The sequence below is a fragment of the Homo sapiens genome, chromosome 9, assembly GCF_000001405.40.
Source record: "Homo sapiens chromosome 9, GRCh38.p14 Primary Assembly".
Classification (NCBI taxonomy): Eukaryota; Metazoa; Chordata; class Mammalia; order Primates; family Hominidae; genus Homo; species Homo sapiens.
In genome coordinates, this window is record NC_000009.12 from 92,497,437 (window position 1) to 92,511,529 (window position 14,093).

Here is a 14,093-nt window from a genome sequence, read left to right on the forward strand (position 1 = left end):
CAACATGGAGAAACCCCGTCTCTACTGAAAATACAAAATTAGCTGGGCATGGTGGCGTATCCTTGTAATCCCAGCTACTTGGGAGGCTGAGGCAACAGAATTGCTTGAACCTGGGAGGTCGAGGTTGCAGTGAGCTGAGATCACGCCGTTGCACTTCTGCCTGGGCAACAAGAGCAAAACTCTGTCTCAAAAAAAAAAAAAGAAAGAAAGAAAAAAGAAAAAAAGGGTAGAAAAAATACACATACCCCATAAGGTTTGGTTTTTTTGACCCCTCCAAATCTCATGTTGAAATTTGATCCCCAGTGTTGGAGGTGGTGCTTAATGGGAGGTGTTTGGGTCATGGGGGGCAAGTCACTCATGAATAGATTGATATCCTCTCTAGGATCAGGGGAGTGAGTAAGTTCTTGTTCTATTAATTCCCATAAGAGCTGGTTGTTTAAAAAAAAAAAAAAAAAAAGAAGTCTGGCACCTCCCCATTCTTTTTTGCCTCCTCTCTTGCCATGTAATCTCTACACACTCCATCTCCCCTTCCACCATGAGTGGAAGCAGCCTGAAGGCCCTCACCAGATGCAGATGCCAGTGCCGTGCTACTTGCACAGCCTGAAGAACCATGAGCCAAATAAACCTTTTCTCTTTATAAATTACCCAGCCTTGGGCATTACTTTATAGCATCAGAATTGGACTAAGACATATATAGAGAGAAAACTGCCCTTTTGTGTAATAATTTGTATAATAATTATGGATGGGGATGGGGAAATATGTATATGTATGTAGGCTTTTGTTTGCAAAAATAAATACTGGAAGGATAAACTAGAAATTTAAAAATTTAACCTATGGGAAGGATCATATAGTGTATAAAAGACAATCATAGACGTTGGGGGAGGGATAGCATTAGGAGGTATACCTAATATTAAATGAAGAGTTAATGGGTACAGCACACCAACATGGCACATGTATATATATGTAACAAACCTGCACGTTGTGCACATGTACCCTAAAAGTATAGTAAAAAGAAAATATATATATATTAAAAAAAGACAATCATAGAAGTAAGACTTCTCTTAATTCAACTTCTTACACAGTTTTGACTTTGGAATTAAAAATATTTAACACAGTCAAAAATAATATTAATTCAAAAAGAAAAGAGCAATTTCTAAAAACCAAAAATAAACTAAATAACATGTCTGAATATTAAGTTGTTGACATATTACAGAGGAAACCACTGTATTTCAGCTGTACTTCTTTAGTGGAACTTATCCTAAAGACAAATAGAGCTACCAAAAAATAATAAACTTCAAGCTTTTATTATGAGCAGTAATAATGATGTCATTTTGAAACAATTGTTTACATATTGTAAGATCATCCAAGTTAATATTGTTGGGAACCTAGATTTTCAGTGTAAGAGAAACAAGTTTTAATAAAAGGAATTAATATTCAATTATGTTAAATTTGATTTGGGAATGTCAGTCTGAACTTACTTTCTTTTCAAAATACGGAATTTCCTGGCAGTCCACTGAAAGGCCTCAAAACAATAGCAACACAATTGAAAGGACCACGTCTCGTTCCCACTTGGGGCTTCTCAATACTATTCCCCAAAGAAAGAGGCCAAGCTCTTTGGAGGAAGGTCTGCAGTAGGTAATGCAGAAAGTAAGCCTGAGGCCCACGTGTGCCCAAAAGCAAGTGAGCAGACACAAGAGCCAGTTTGAATGGCGACCATTGTCCAGATGACTGCAATTGATTGAAACATAACTGCTTACATGAAAGCCTAAGTATATATTGATTCACCAGAAAAAGAGAGAACCCTAAAACAAAATAAAGCAAAAACATTCAGGCTCCAACTTCTTACTCCCACTGGTGGTTTAAAGGAAAGAACTGAGCTTTTTTCTTTCCTTTCAAAGTGACAAAGCAGCCCTAGTTGATGAGCAAAAAATTTTTTACAGAGGAATTCCAGCTAATGAGCATGAGAAGCATGGCAAAAATAGAAATTCATCATTTTGTTACCTCTAATGAAATAAGAATTCAAACAACATTCATCTGTGAGTGAAACCATTGGTTCAATGATGGAGGAGTAAATTTGTCTTAGGAGATACCAGGCTGTGACCACTTCAATCCAGTGATCAATTTTAGAATCAAAAAAGGTGGGACAAACATTAGACGCCTTCTGATGCAATGCAGTATGAAGCATATGGCACAACCTGTGAAGTATTTTTGCCAAAAAATTTTGAAACTGAATTTTACAAAGTCTTCCCAAACCCCCATCTCTTCCTCCAGTACCTTTAAAAACACGAACTTTTCTGTGTTTTTGTTTTGTCTTTGTAGGCATTTAGTTTATTTGGACTTTTAGAGAAGGGGAAAGACTAAGAGGCATAATTCTCAGGGACAGAACAACAAGGTTATTGTCTCCCTCACTGCCAATGATAAAGACCTTACTAACAAAATATTCTGGATTAATTCTCAAGACACTCATGCCATCTAGGCAGGAGTGATGATTCAGTATATAAGCTGAACACATGCAGAAAAATGTGTTCCCAAAAGTAGGGAAAGTGAGTCTTAATAAATGTATTCAGAAATCTGACTTCAGAAAAAACTAGATAGAAGCAGTTTTAATTTTAGCATATATTTACGTTTTATGCTTTATAGATTAGTTTTATTTATTTATACATGGAGGTAGGAGTAGTAACATAATCTATTGCTTTGAAGACTCATTTGAACCTCTCTCTAAAGTTCTAAGTGTTATATATAATAATCTGTTAATCTTTTTTTTGAGATGGAGTCTCACTCTGTCACCCAGGCTGGAGTGCAGTGGCACCATCCCGGCTCACTGCAACCTCTGCCTCCCAGGTTCAAACAATTCTCCCACCTCAGCCTCCTGAGTAGCTGGCATTACAGACACGCACCACCACGCCCTGCTAAGTTTTGTATTTTTAGTAGAAACGAGGTTTCACCATGTTGGCCAGGCTGGCCTCAGACTCTTGAACTCAGGTGATCCGCCCGCCTTGGCGTCCCAAAGTGCTGGAATTACAGGCGTGAGCCACTGCACCTGACCAAAAGATGTTTTAACTATGGAAATTTATAAACATGTGCAAAAGTAGGAAAAGCTTATAATGAATCCTCACATACCTGTCATCCACCTTTGGTAATTACTAACATTTGCCAATCTTGTTTAATCCAACCCCTTAGCACCATTTTTTTTTCCCTTAACGTAAATCCCAGAGATCATGTCATGGTTGTTTTATCATATATTTTGCCAACCAAAATTTAAACAGATACTTGAAAAAGCCAAAATTTACCGTATCTTGTTGTTGTTCAGCCTCAGAAAATGTAGTGCTTTCATTTCTTGTATCCCAGGTGGTATAGATTTTAAGTCATTGTGATCCAGAAATAATTCTCTCAGAGAATGATATGCCCCATAGAAGGAGACACGGTCCATGCCATCATCAGCAAGTTTGTTAAATGACAGGTACAAGTATTCCAGGCCTGGTTCCATGTGGCCAAACACATAGCCAGGGATCCGTTCAATCTGGTTCCCAAGGAGTACTAGGTGCAGCAAGGACTTGGGTAGATAGGACGGGACGTGATAGAGCTTGTTGTAGGAGAGATCAATGGATTCTAGATTTCTGCAGCAAAGAAAAAAGTAAACAGGGTAGGGACATCAGGATGGTGATCATCAGCTCTAAATTTTGATAAGGCCAGTCTCGATGCTGGTCCATTTTCCTATAAGCACCCAGTTTGTAGTGATGATTCCAAATAGGAACTTTTCCAGGTATAGCCAGCCCTAGTCTCTTGCACCAAGCTGCATGTCCTTACCAGGGTGCCATACTGCCTCCCAGCTATGTGAGTCCATGCGAGAGGAGCATCAAAGACTAGGAGGGAAAAACTCATATCCCTAGAGGCAATACTGAGGCCCAAAGACTAAAATATCTGTACGGTTGATGCGTTGAATCCAAAATGAAATCCCGTGAATCCCAGCATGCATCTAAATGCCTATCTGTAAAGTTGTCTCTGGTTCCAGCAAGGAAGTTTGGTTTGTTTTGGCTTGTTTTGGTTCCCCTTCCCCTACATTTTCATTCCACATTTGATTTGATGACCTGGCACACCTGGGACTTGAGGCGAGCCTGAGGGAATCTAGAAAATGCTGTTAATCATCTAGAAGATCTGGGGAACGTGGTGAACTCACTGGCTTGTTTCAGGAACCCCACCTGAGTCTCCTAAGGCTTCTGCCCCACGCCCTCTTTTCACCTGATGAAGACTTCTCTGCCTACAGTGGGCTCAGTGCCACATGCTGCTGAGCCCAATTGGCCTCTCCATCCTGCTTCTGAATGACACGTGTCCCAGGCTGTGCTACTTAGGCACATAGTTCCAGGACACGCAATCCCAGATCCCAGTTGTCTGCTGGATTTGCTGCAGGGCTTGCTTCTGACTCCCTCCCCCTTCACTGAAAGCTATAGCCAGAGGCTGCTGATTCTTGTCCAGGAAGACAGAGTCTACTTTTGGCCTGCACTGTTAGGCCAAGCATTCTTCAGTCTATTTTGTAAGAGTTGAGGTGAAGAAATAGTTTGGAGAAAAGAAGGCTGTGTAGTGTAGGAGAACAGGCCTGGGCTCTGGAGCCTGGTGCTTCCACCTAATGATGATGAGGAGAAGGAGTATGGCAGATTTCTTTCTCACTGTGTGCAGGGGAATAATCCTTCATTCAAACCTCCTGACAACCTGTGAGGTAGACAGAGCTAGAGTGGCATTTGACCACTAGTGGGCAGACCTCGAAGTCAGACAGCTGGGGCTCAGTTCTTGCTAGCTCAGCACTTGGCATATGATAGGGTGTCCAGTATGCAGTATGGTGACAACAACAGTAGTTACTGCAATAATCCTAACACCAGTCATGCAGCGCACAGGTTGGAAACTGCATGAAGTAGCCCACTTTGGGGATAGGGTAAGGGTTCACTAAGAAACGATTCTGTCTCCGAGCCCTTCAGTATCGTCACCTCCCTCACTTATCCCATTCCCAGTTTCCATACTCTGTTTAATAATAGCGAGAGGAAGAAATAGTTCAATAAAATTTAAATTGTAGCATGTACTTACTCTTGATTTATCCAGGCTAAAGGAGCAATCCTATTTTCTTCAATTTTGTTATAACGTAGTACAATGACATTGATCTTTCTGGTATGATTGAAACAAATTTCAGTTATTTCTTCAATTTGGTTATTTTCTAGGTATAATTCCTATAATTAAGAGAGAAGACTATTATTTTTCTTTTGTGTTAGTTGATACGTTCAATTTCATGGAGACTAAAATAGTGACATAGACTATTATCATTAGTATTATCTAAAGAGTCTTACTGCTCTTTCAAGTAAGCTCATATTTTTAAGTTGTCTTTTTTTTTTTTTTTTTTTTTGAGACAGGGTCTCACTTTGTTACGCAGGATGGAGTGCAGTGGCACAAACATGGCTCACTGCAGCCTTGACCTCCCAGGCTCAAGTGATCCTACCACCTCAGTCCCACAAGTGACTGAGACTACAGGTATGCGCCATGAAGCCTGGCTAATTTTTGTATTTTTTGTAGAGACAGGGTCTCACCATGTTGCTCAGGCTGGTCTCGAACTCCTAAGCTCAAGTGATCTACCCGCCTCGGCCTCCCAAAGTGCTGGAATTACAGGAAAGTTGTCAAATTTTATAACTAATTAGTAAAATAAAACACACTGCCATGGTTATGGAATCAAATGAATTTTATTTAAAATGTATTAGCTATAATATGTTGCAAGAAATGGCATACCAAAATAATTATACAAGGCTCTCTATTTTATAAAACTTATTCACATAAATTATCTCATTTGGGCTTAAAAACTCTGAAAAGTAGACAGATATTTTAATCTCTACTTACCAGTGGAGTTAAGTTGGGCCTGGAGAGACAGGGAAGCCCACCCGTGGTTACATGACTAATGCTGAGAGGGGCTTGTCCTAGCCGAGCCTCCAGCTCCCAGGCTGCCTGTTTCCTACTATTTCATGTGGTCTATAATATTTTAGGCTCATGTTTTTAGATTTGCTTTTGTTATAATTAATTAAAGTTAATTAACAGCCTTAATTTACAACCAAGGAGAAGTTTTCTAGAACTGTTAATAAGTTTTTAATAGCTAGCTGCCTTCAAGTTAAGTTTAGTTGGCATTAGAGGGAGTTTTTCACTAAAGGATCTGCATTATAAAAATTCTCCTTGTTCTCTTGTTAGAATTCAGAGGTAAAACTGGCATATATCTTTAGTGTCACCTTCTATTCCACCTGTGAGAATTTCCCTCTTTGTTAATTTTGGTATTTGTTAGAAATTAGTAAAACAATTTTCAACTTTTTGCTTTTACCTGCATATGTATTTAGGAGGTGAGCTAGATCAGTAAGAGACTAGTCAAATAAATCCTGGCACACCTGTCCATATGTTGAAAACTCTGCAGCTGTAGGAAAGAATGACATGAGACAGCCTTGAGGCTGCATGGTTAAGTGAGGCAGGTGTACAGCAGTGGCTTTAGAAGGATTTGTAGTATGTGCCACGCATTTGTGCGCTTGTATGCCCAGTGCTTTCCAGACTGGTAGGAGTGGATCCCTCTGGAGAGAGAGAAGTCAGTATGGGAAGCTCAGGCTCACAGTGGGGCAGATTGCTCTTTTGTATTATCCTCATTGTGTATGTATGTGTTTTAACATGTGTATGCATTATCTATTTAAATTTTAATTTTTTAATTATTCATTTCTGGCCCTGTCCCACAAAGAATCTGACTTAGCATATCTGGGGTAGGTCCAAGAGTCTGTATTTCTTAAGAACCCAGGAGATTCTGATGGAAAGCCAGCCTACTGATAAATGTCAGTGTTACATAACTCTGTCACTTAATCTGGAAATAGGAAGAAGAGGAAGGGTGGTAGCCATGACAGCCACATAAGATCACAATAGATGACCCTCTTTTCTGGCTTGCTGGGGCTGCAGCCGGAGAATGCTCCATCCTGACTTCTGGCTGGATGATCATGTGGTCTAGGAGAAACGGAGCTTAGTAAGGAAACCTGGGTTCCCACGGGGTCTGCCAGTATGTATAGACTCTCTGGACCTCAGTGTTCTTTTTGGCAGGCAGGGTGGGGTGTGGTTTGTAGAGACAGGGTCTCTCTGTGTTGCCCAGGCTGGAGTGTAGTGGTACGATCCTAGCTTACTGCAGCCTCAAACTCCTGGGCTCAAGTGATCCTCCACCTCAGCCTCCTGAGCAGCTACGACTACAGGTGTGCACCACCATGACTGGCTATTTTTTTTTAATATATCTTTTAGAGACAAGGTCTCACTATGTTGCCCAGGCTACTCTCAAACTCCTGGCCTCAAGCCATCTTCCTGCCTCAGCCTCCCAGAGTGCTGGGATTACTGGCGTGAGCCACTGCACGGTCCACCTCAGTGTTTTTAACGCAGGAAATGAGGGGTGTTGACATTCATCAGCCAAAGACCCCCAGGAGCACATCCTGCAGCAAGGAGACCACACATCTGGGGACCTGTGGGGCATCTCTAGAGGATAATGAAGCAAGGCTGGGGTTTGGGGCCTGGAGTTAGTCACAGGACAGTTTTGGTAGGAACTGGGTGAAAACTTGTAAGCTACAGAGTTGCTGAAACAGTCAGAGGCCTTCTTTGTACAACACTTGTATCCATGCAAGTTACTGTTAGGTCAGAGTGTCTGTGGTTTTGCCTGGAATTTGTGAGTGGACACTCTGTTACGGTTAATACCTGTTTGAGCTTCTGTGATAAGCGTCACATTTCTAGATTGGGGCAGTTTACACTGTCTTGAGAGTCAGAGTACCTCATGGAAGTTGTGGTTTCATTTAAATTCTCAATTCATTTCTCCCATTTCCCCCAAGAGCTATCAGAAGTACCATTTTTCACTGTATCAGGTGTCTCTACTAGTAATTATAATTTCGATTCAGAATTTTGTATTGCTTGAAGAAAAAACAATGCTTAAATTACAGGAAATTCTGTATACAGCATGAAACTAGAGTTTAATTTACATCACAATAGTCTTAAAATATATTTTGTTGTAGTGTACCATATTTCAAATATAATACATTTAAAACACTAAAAAAATATATTGTTACCTCAATAGAACCAGGAAGACCCTGCGGTATAATTCTAAATTTATTTTTTCCCAGACGCAAGTAGGCTAGGCTCTTCAAAGGTTTGAAAGCTAAAGGATTGACATTGGCTTCACTGAGATTGTTTCCTTCCAATTCTAAGGTGACCAACTGATTTAAGTCTATAAAAAATAAAAGTATTAGAATATTAGGATAATTGAAAAACCATGCAAATTTTTGTAGCCTTTTGAAATGTCATGTGAAATGGCCGGTTTATTTGGAGGGCAAATACAGTTTTTTTTAAACCTTTGTATCCTCCTATAAAACCTTTTCTTAAGTACTTTGTACATCCCAGATGCTCAATTCAACCAGAACTAAATGCATGGTCCAGTAGTGAGGCAGACCTGAAAAAAATCATTGAAATGCTAGGTGCTAACAATATGTGTAAGGAACAGAAGCAAGAGAGAAGAGAGGGAGGGAGATAGGAAAGAGAGGCAGAGGAGTTTCCATAGAAATTGTGGTGGCTGAACAGGGATTTGGAATTCAGGTAGGAAAGGAATAGAAAGTTGTGGACAGTCATTGGAAACATTGCAAAGACATAGATGTATGAAGTGGCAGCATAATAGGCAATGGGGTGGGTAGAAGTTTAATGCAATGAATGATTTCTTTTTCTAGGACACAGAAAAGAACACTTTCCCTGGCTCACCCTCAGTCTCTGAACAAGGGAGTCAGAAGTAAACCAGAACAGTGAATTCCCATCATAGTTACTCACTTGTTGGCACAGAGTGCAGCCAAATGGAAGCTTTGAAAGAATGATGATCAAAAATTCTCCATGCATTCAGATTGAACTAGCAAGAAAGGCCTTTATACAAACAAATTTTTTCTACTTTGTTTCTACTAGTCTCAGGAGTGGTATGATCCAGGTCAAATGGAAGTTCTGTGCTGCAAAATGGACAGCTCAGCAATGATAATACCCAAAGGCATCTGAGTCAGAGGCTCAGGGTGTGGCCAAAATTCCCAGATTAGGGGATGTTTTCTATTCAACCCCCTTCATGGGCATTGCACCGAATGCCATGTGGGACTCCGTTCTGCTCTTAGGCAACAGCAAAGACGGTTGCATCAGGAATAGAAATAATAAATGCTGGAAGATTAAAAGAAGAAAAAGCAGTGTAGATGTGAGTGGTATGAAAGTGCCAGGCTCCTACAGACAGAAAGATTTAGATAGAAGTAGGAGGAACTTCCAAGCTGAAATAGCCAGCTGAGCACATGTAGGTGAAAGACCATGTGGGTTTGCTCAGGGAGAGAGGAGACTAGCCCTGGAGTGGCTGTGCACAGTGGAGTGAAGGTTGGTGCTCAGAGAGAAGTACACTGGGAGGGCCTTTTTTTACATTTTTTAAATTTTATTTTATTTTATTTAGAGACAGAGTCTTGCTCTGTCACCCAGGCTGGAGTGCAATAGCGTGGTCTTGGCTCACTGCAACCTCCGCCTCCCGGGTTCAAGCAATTCTCCTGCCTCAGCCTCCCGAGTATCTGGCATTGCAGGCCCCCACCACCACACTCAGCTAATTCTGGGAGGGCCTTTGCACCCTGGACAACAACGTCTGGCTCTCATTCTCTAGGCAGCAAGATGGGGATGGCAGGACAAGGGCCACATTTTACAAAGGTTAACCTGGTGGTGGTGCTCAGGATTAATGGAAGTGCTGAGCAACAGGAAGTAGCCAGGCCAGCCAGTAAATTGGGATAAGTGGTTATATTTCCTCATATTCTCTTTCATTTCCAAAACTAAAGGTACTGAGAATCTGACATCTTTCTCTAGTACATAGGTGAAGTTTTGAAATGCAGTGGAAGTTTTTCATTGAAAAATAGATAACAGAAATGAACTAGTGGCCATTACATGACTGAGAGAAAAAGAGAGAAACAGTGCAAATTCAGGACACTGTGTTTTCTTTTGCAATTATTCTCTGGTATATATAGGAAATAGGAGGTAACAGGAAATAGGATGGAGCTAGAGAACGTTTCTTGTAGGTGAGACTTGAGGTGGATGTTGAAAGGATTCATGGACAGGAAACAGGAAGTCTTCCATGGTGGGTGGTACCATGACAGGCTGTGGACATGGCAGGTGCCTCGATGTTCCTGGCAGGCAGCATCACATGGTCATCCACTAGAGCAGCCTCCAGGGCTCCTGATTTAGTTGTTTCAGTCATTAGTGACAACAAAAATGCTTTTAAAGCGTGCCTGGTTTTCCTCAGCTGTCCCTCCCTCCACCTTTCACACCTCTCTCTCAATTGTAAGTCCTTCCCTTTCTCCATAACACGTGTGCACATCTCAGGTGGACTCTGCTCCTCCTGCAGGTAAATTCCCTGCCCTTCAGCAAGGTGTGTGCAGCCCCTTGTGCTGCTCTTTGCTTGCCTTTCACCTTCACCGTGCCTGCTTGCAGCTCCCACAGTATCCCAAATTGTCTCATTTATTTGCATCTTTGTGCTGTTTTCTCTCCCTGGAGTGCCCTCCTTCCCCCTCTCTGGAGCTATAATCTGAAAGGTCATGAGTGAGGAGCCACCCCAAGAGAGATGACGGGAGAGCAGTGGGCCACCTGCTTCCACACAGAAGCAGGGTGCCCTCACAGCACTCCTGGCAGCCAGCCTGACCATCCACAGCATCAGGACTCCCAGCCAGGGGGAGCCCAGCACCCGAGGGGCCAGTACTGCAGTAGCTCTTAGAACTCAGCCCACCCAGGGAGTGCAGCCGGGGGTATCTGAGCCGGAGGACAGAAGCACTGCCGGCATGGGGCCGAGGCTCCTCGGGTGCTCGGACTGTGGAGAAAGGTGGGCTAAGAAAGGCAGGCAGACAGCCCGTTCACCCTGGCTTCCTGTCAACACTCTGGGAATCTAGAAGCATTTGTGAGTGAGGGAGGAGAAGAGTACTCTGGAAGGCAGTTCCAGGGGTGTGTGAAAGCACGTTCACAATCAGGAGTGCATGTTTTATAACATCTCATTTTGATAACCCAACTAAAAGTGTGACTGACTTATAGTTCATATACAGCCTGTTAGTACAGTTGTTCTAAATTGCTGACACCCTTTGGTCTTCAGCAGTTAGAAACTGAATTTTCTAATGTCTTTCCCATTTGGCAGTCTGCATCAAAATTTGTGTTTATTAATGTTTTTCTGTGTGTCCTGAAATCCATCTGGAAATTGAGTATTTCCATAACTAATCCTCAGATTTGGCAATTCTCATTATTATTGTTCTTTTCTCAATACCAGAAGTGTTTTGTTCCTGTGAAGTTTTTTGGGAGCTACAGGAAATAATTGAATTGTTTTATTCCTTTAAAGGCTTTGTTTAATAAATAACATAATAAATAAAAACATAATATGTTTCAAAGCAAGGAAACAGACAGTGTTGAGCACTGTACCTCAAGAGCTATGCTAGACTATTAGGAAGATAAAAAGAAAAGGTAGGCAGTCCTTGTCTCAAAAAAGTACACAGTACAATCAAAGGCATTAGCTAGAATTCATGAAAAGTAAAATGTGATAAAGCCTCTTCTATACAGAGTCACAATATGACAACTTCAGCTGTCTAGCACAGTCCCGAAACAAGCAGAAGAGGGGCCATTTCCAGCAATGTCGAGTGCACAGAACATGGGGCACGCTCACTAAAGGCTGTCAGAAAGCTAGGCCATGGTGGGAGCCTTGCATCCACATGCCGTGGGGTGTGGAGTTAGCAGGACTTCAGTGACATATGAGTACAGAAGTTCCAGCCCAAGCCCTCTCAGGCAGAAAATTGCCAAAGTCAAAGTTAATACCATGAAGAGCATGTGCTTTCTTTGTAGGACAGCATCTCAGCCGCATATGCAGTGCCCATTTATTCATATTCCATGCATAATTCCCATGTGCTTAGTTTTGTTTTTAGGTTCCAACACATGATAAATGAAAATAGCAAGGTGTATGGAGGCAGCAAGAGTTGTGGGTGGGGTCTGTTGACCATCAGAGTGATAAAGGAGATCCAATCAACAAACATGGCACTGGTTAGTCGCTACAAAGAACCGACAAAATTGTCGATCCATAACACAAAACACATGGCAGTGCAGGGAATATTTAGCGTAATTCTTCAGATATTTTGGATTTGTAGTAAATTTATTGCCTTGTGAATAATAAGAACCTGGAATCATTGAGAAACAATGTTATTCATGGGTAAGGTACAAAGACAATAGGCAGTTTAAAATTCATTTTACGTTTTACCAGTCAATAGTTAAAAGAAGTTTTATCAACTCAAATGGTTAAGTGACCTAAAAATATTTACTATTTATTCATTTGGCAATACAGTAAATAAAATTTCTACAGGACTATATAGGAAAGATTATAAGGAAGCATATCATTGAAAAACAAATATTAAATACCTGATAAACTTTCTTCATCGATAGCCTGAAGATTGTTCTCATTGACTTTAAGTTCTTCTAATGTAGATGGCAATTGTGAAGGAATCTGTATCAAATTATTTCCATCCATATTCAAACGCATTAACTTCTTCAGAAGCTTAAAAAGCAAATCTCAAAGTTACTTTTTTATCTAGTCACAGCTGTGCAGTCACATTTCATATAATGGTCGTGACTAAAAGTCTCACAAACCTATCCTTCCTTAGGCTTAGACAGTAATGTCCAGGCCACACAGCAAACCCCTTATTCCCCCTGCCAGGTTGATATTGATCCTGGTAATAGCATTGATTCTCAGGGATTTTCAGCAGACTACATTTGATTATTTTGTAGCTTACTCACCACGTTTATATTGCAGCTTTAGAAAGTGAGAGAAAGCTGCCATAACTACTGGATTGGTCATTCTTGCTAGATCTTAGGTTTCCACCTTTACAGCAATAGACAGAAATTTTATGAAATCATGCAGTAATCTGAAGCTGTCATGGATGCTAACAATTAAGATAGCAATCAATCCTTTAAACATACTTGTAAACCTCAGTTTTTTATCTACTCCAGAAAGGTCATAAAATAACACTAATTACTGTGGAAATTTTTCAAAACCAAGGACTACAGATATCACAAGCCATTCCAATATGGCATCCAGTTGACTGTCTGGAAAAGTGTCTTTTTCACATTTGTAGTTGTGTGTTCATTGGTCAAACCTAGCCTGTACCCCCACAAGTGGGGACCTGTGGTTGGGTAGGTTTTAGTAAAGTCCCATGGAATGATTCACTTCTCCAGTGATCATATTCAAATTTCAACAGTTTCGGAATGGGACAGAGAATTCCAAAGCAAGAAAAGGAGGTAATCTCTTACAAATTTTTCTCTTGGACAAATAGGAAAAGGACCCCCTAATGCTAGCCATTTTCTAGAAGAAGGATGGATAGCATGAAGTAGATCTAGGGTGTGAATGTAGAACCCTTTTATCTGCCAGACTCCAGATAAGAAACAGGAAATGAGAATAGAAGAGACCAGTGATTTGTCTGAAGAGTGGGTGGAAGACCCAGAAGACTGCCCAAGGGAGTAACAGTTTCACTTAGTGGAATATAGTGTGCTTTATTTTTGGCTTTTCAAACATACACATTTATGAGTTTTTGTTTACAAACATAAACCCCTTTTCTCTTGGCTCTGAAATTCCTTGAATTCTCTCTTCTTTTCTCCTTTTTGTTGTTTGAGACAGGGTCTTCCTCTGTCGCCCAGGCTGGAGTGCAATGGCGCGATCTCGGCTCACTGCAACCTCCGCCTCCCGAATTCAAGCGATTCTCCTGCCTCAGCCTCCCGAGTAGCTGGGACTACAGGTGCATGCCACCACGCTCGGCTAATTTTTTGTATTTTTAGTAGAGACGGGGTTTCACCATGTTGGCCAGGCTGGTCTCAAACTCCTGACCTCATGATCCGCCCATCTTGGCCTCCCAAAGTGCCGGGATTACAGGCATGAGCCACTGTGCCTGGCCTGTTTTTTTTTTTTTTTAAATATATAATTAGTCCAATCTGTATCTTTCAAAGGTTTACTCTGTGCTGTTTCCTGTTCTCTCTCTTTCCCTCTTCTTCCCCAAGCT

The 14,093-nt window shown here is 41.3% G+C and overlaps 2 protein-coding genes across 11 annotated transcripts in view; one reads left to right on the forward strand and one right to left on the reverse strand.

The window, feature by feature from the left end:
- The window catches only part of CENPP (centromere protein P), a 295,062-nt gene that overhangs the window by 171,969 nt on the left and 109,000 nt on the right, over nt 1-14,093 (forward strand). The window lies entirely within an intron of this gene.
- The window catches only part of ECM2 (extracellular matrix protein 2), a 65,560-nt gene that overhangs the window by 3,890 nt on the left and 47,577 nt on the right, over nt 1-14,093 (reverse strand). For 6 of the 8 annotated variants that reach the window (NM_001197296.2, XM_047422899.1, XM_024447436.2 and 3 more), the window contains 4 exons: nt 12,463-12,598; nt 8,097-8,254; nt 5,077-5,216; nt 3,291-3,617 (listed from right to left, as the gene is read on the reverse strand). In NM_001197296.2, coding sequence (NP_001184225.1) covers nt 3,291-3,617; nt 5,077-5,216; nt 8,097-8,254; nt 12,463-12,598 — 761 coding nt within the window. Of the gene's footprint in view, nt 1-3,290; nt 3,618-5,076; nt 5,217-8,096; nt 8,255-11,387; nt 12,225-12,462; nt 12,599-14,093 lie in introns of those variants that run through there. The other 2 variants (XR_007061259.1, XM_017014376.3) reach the window with 2 other exon arrangements.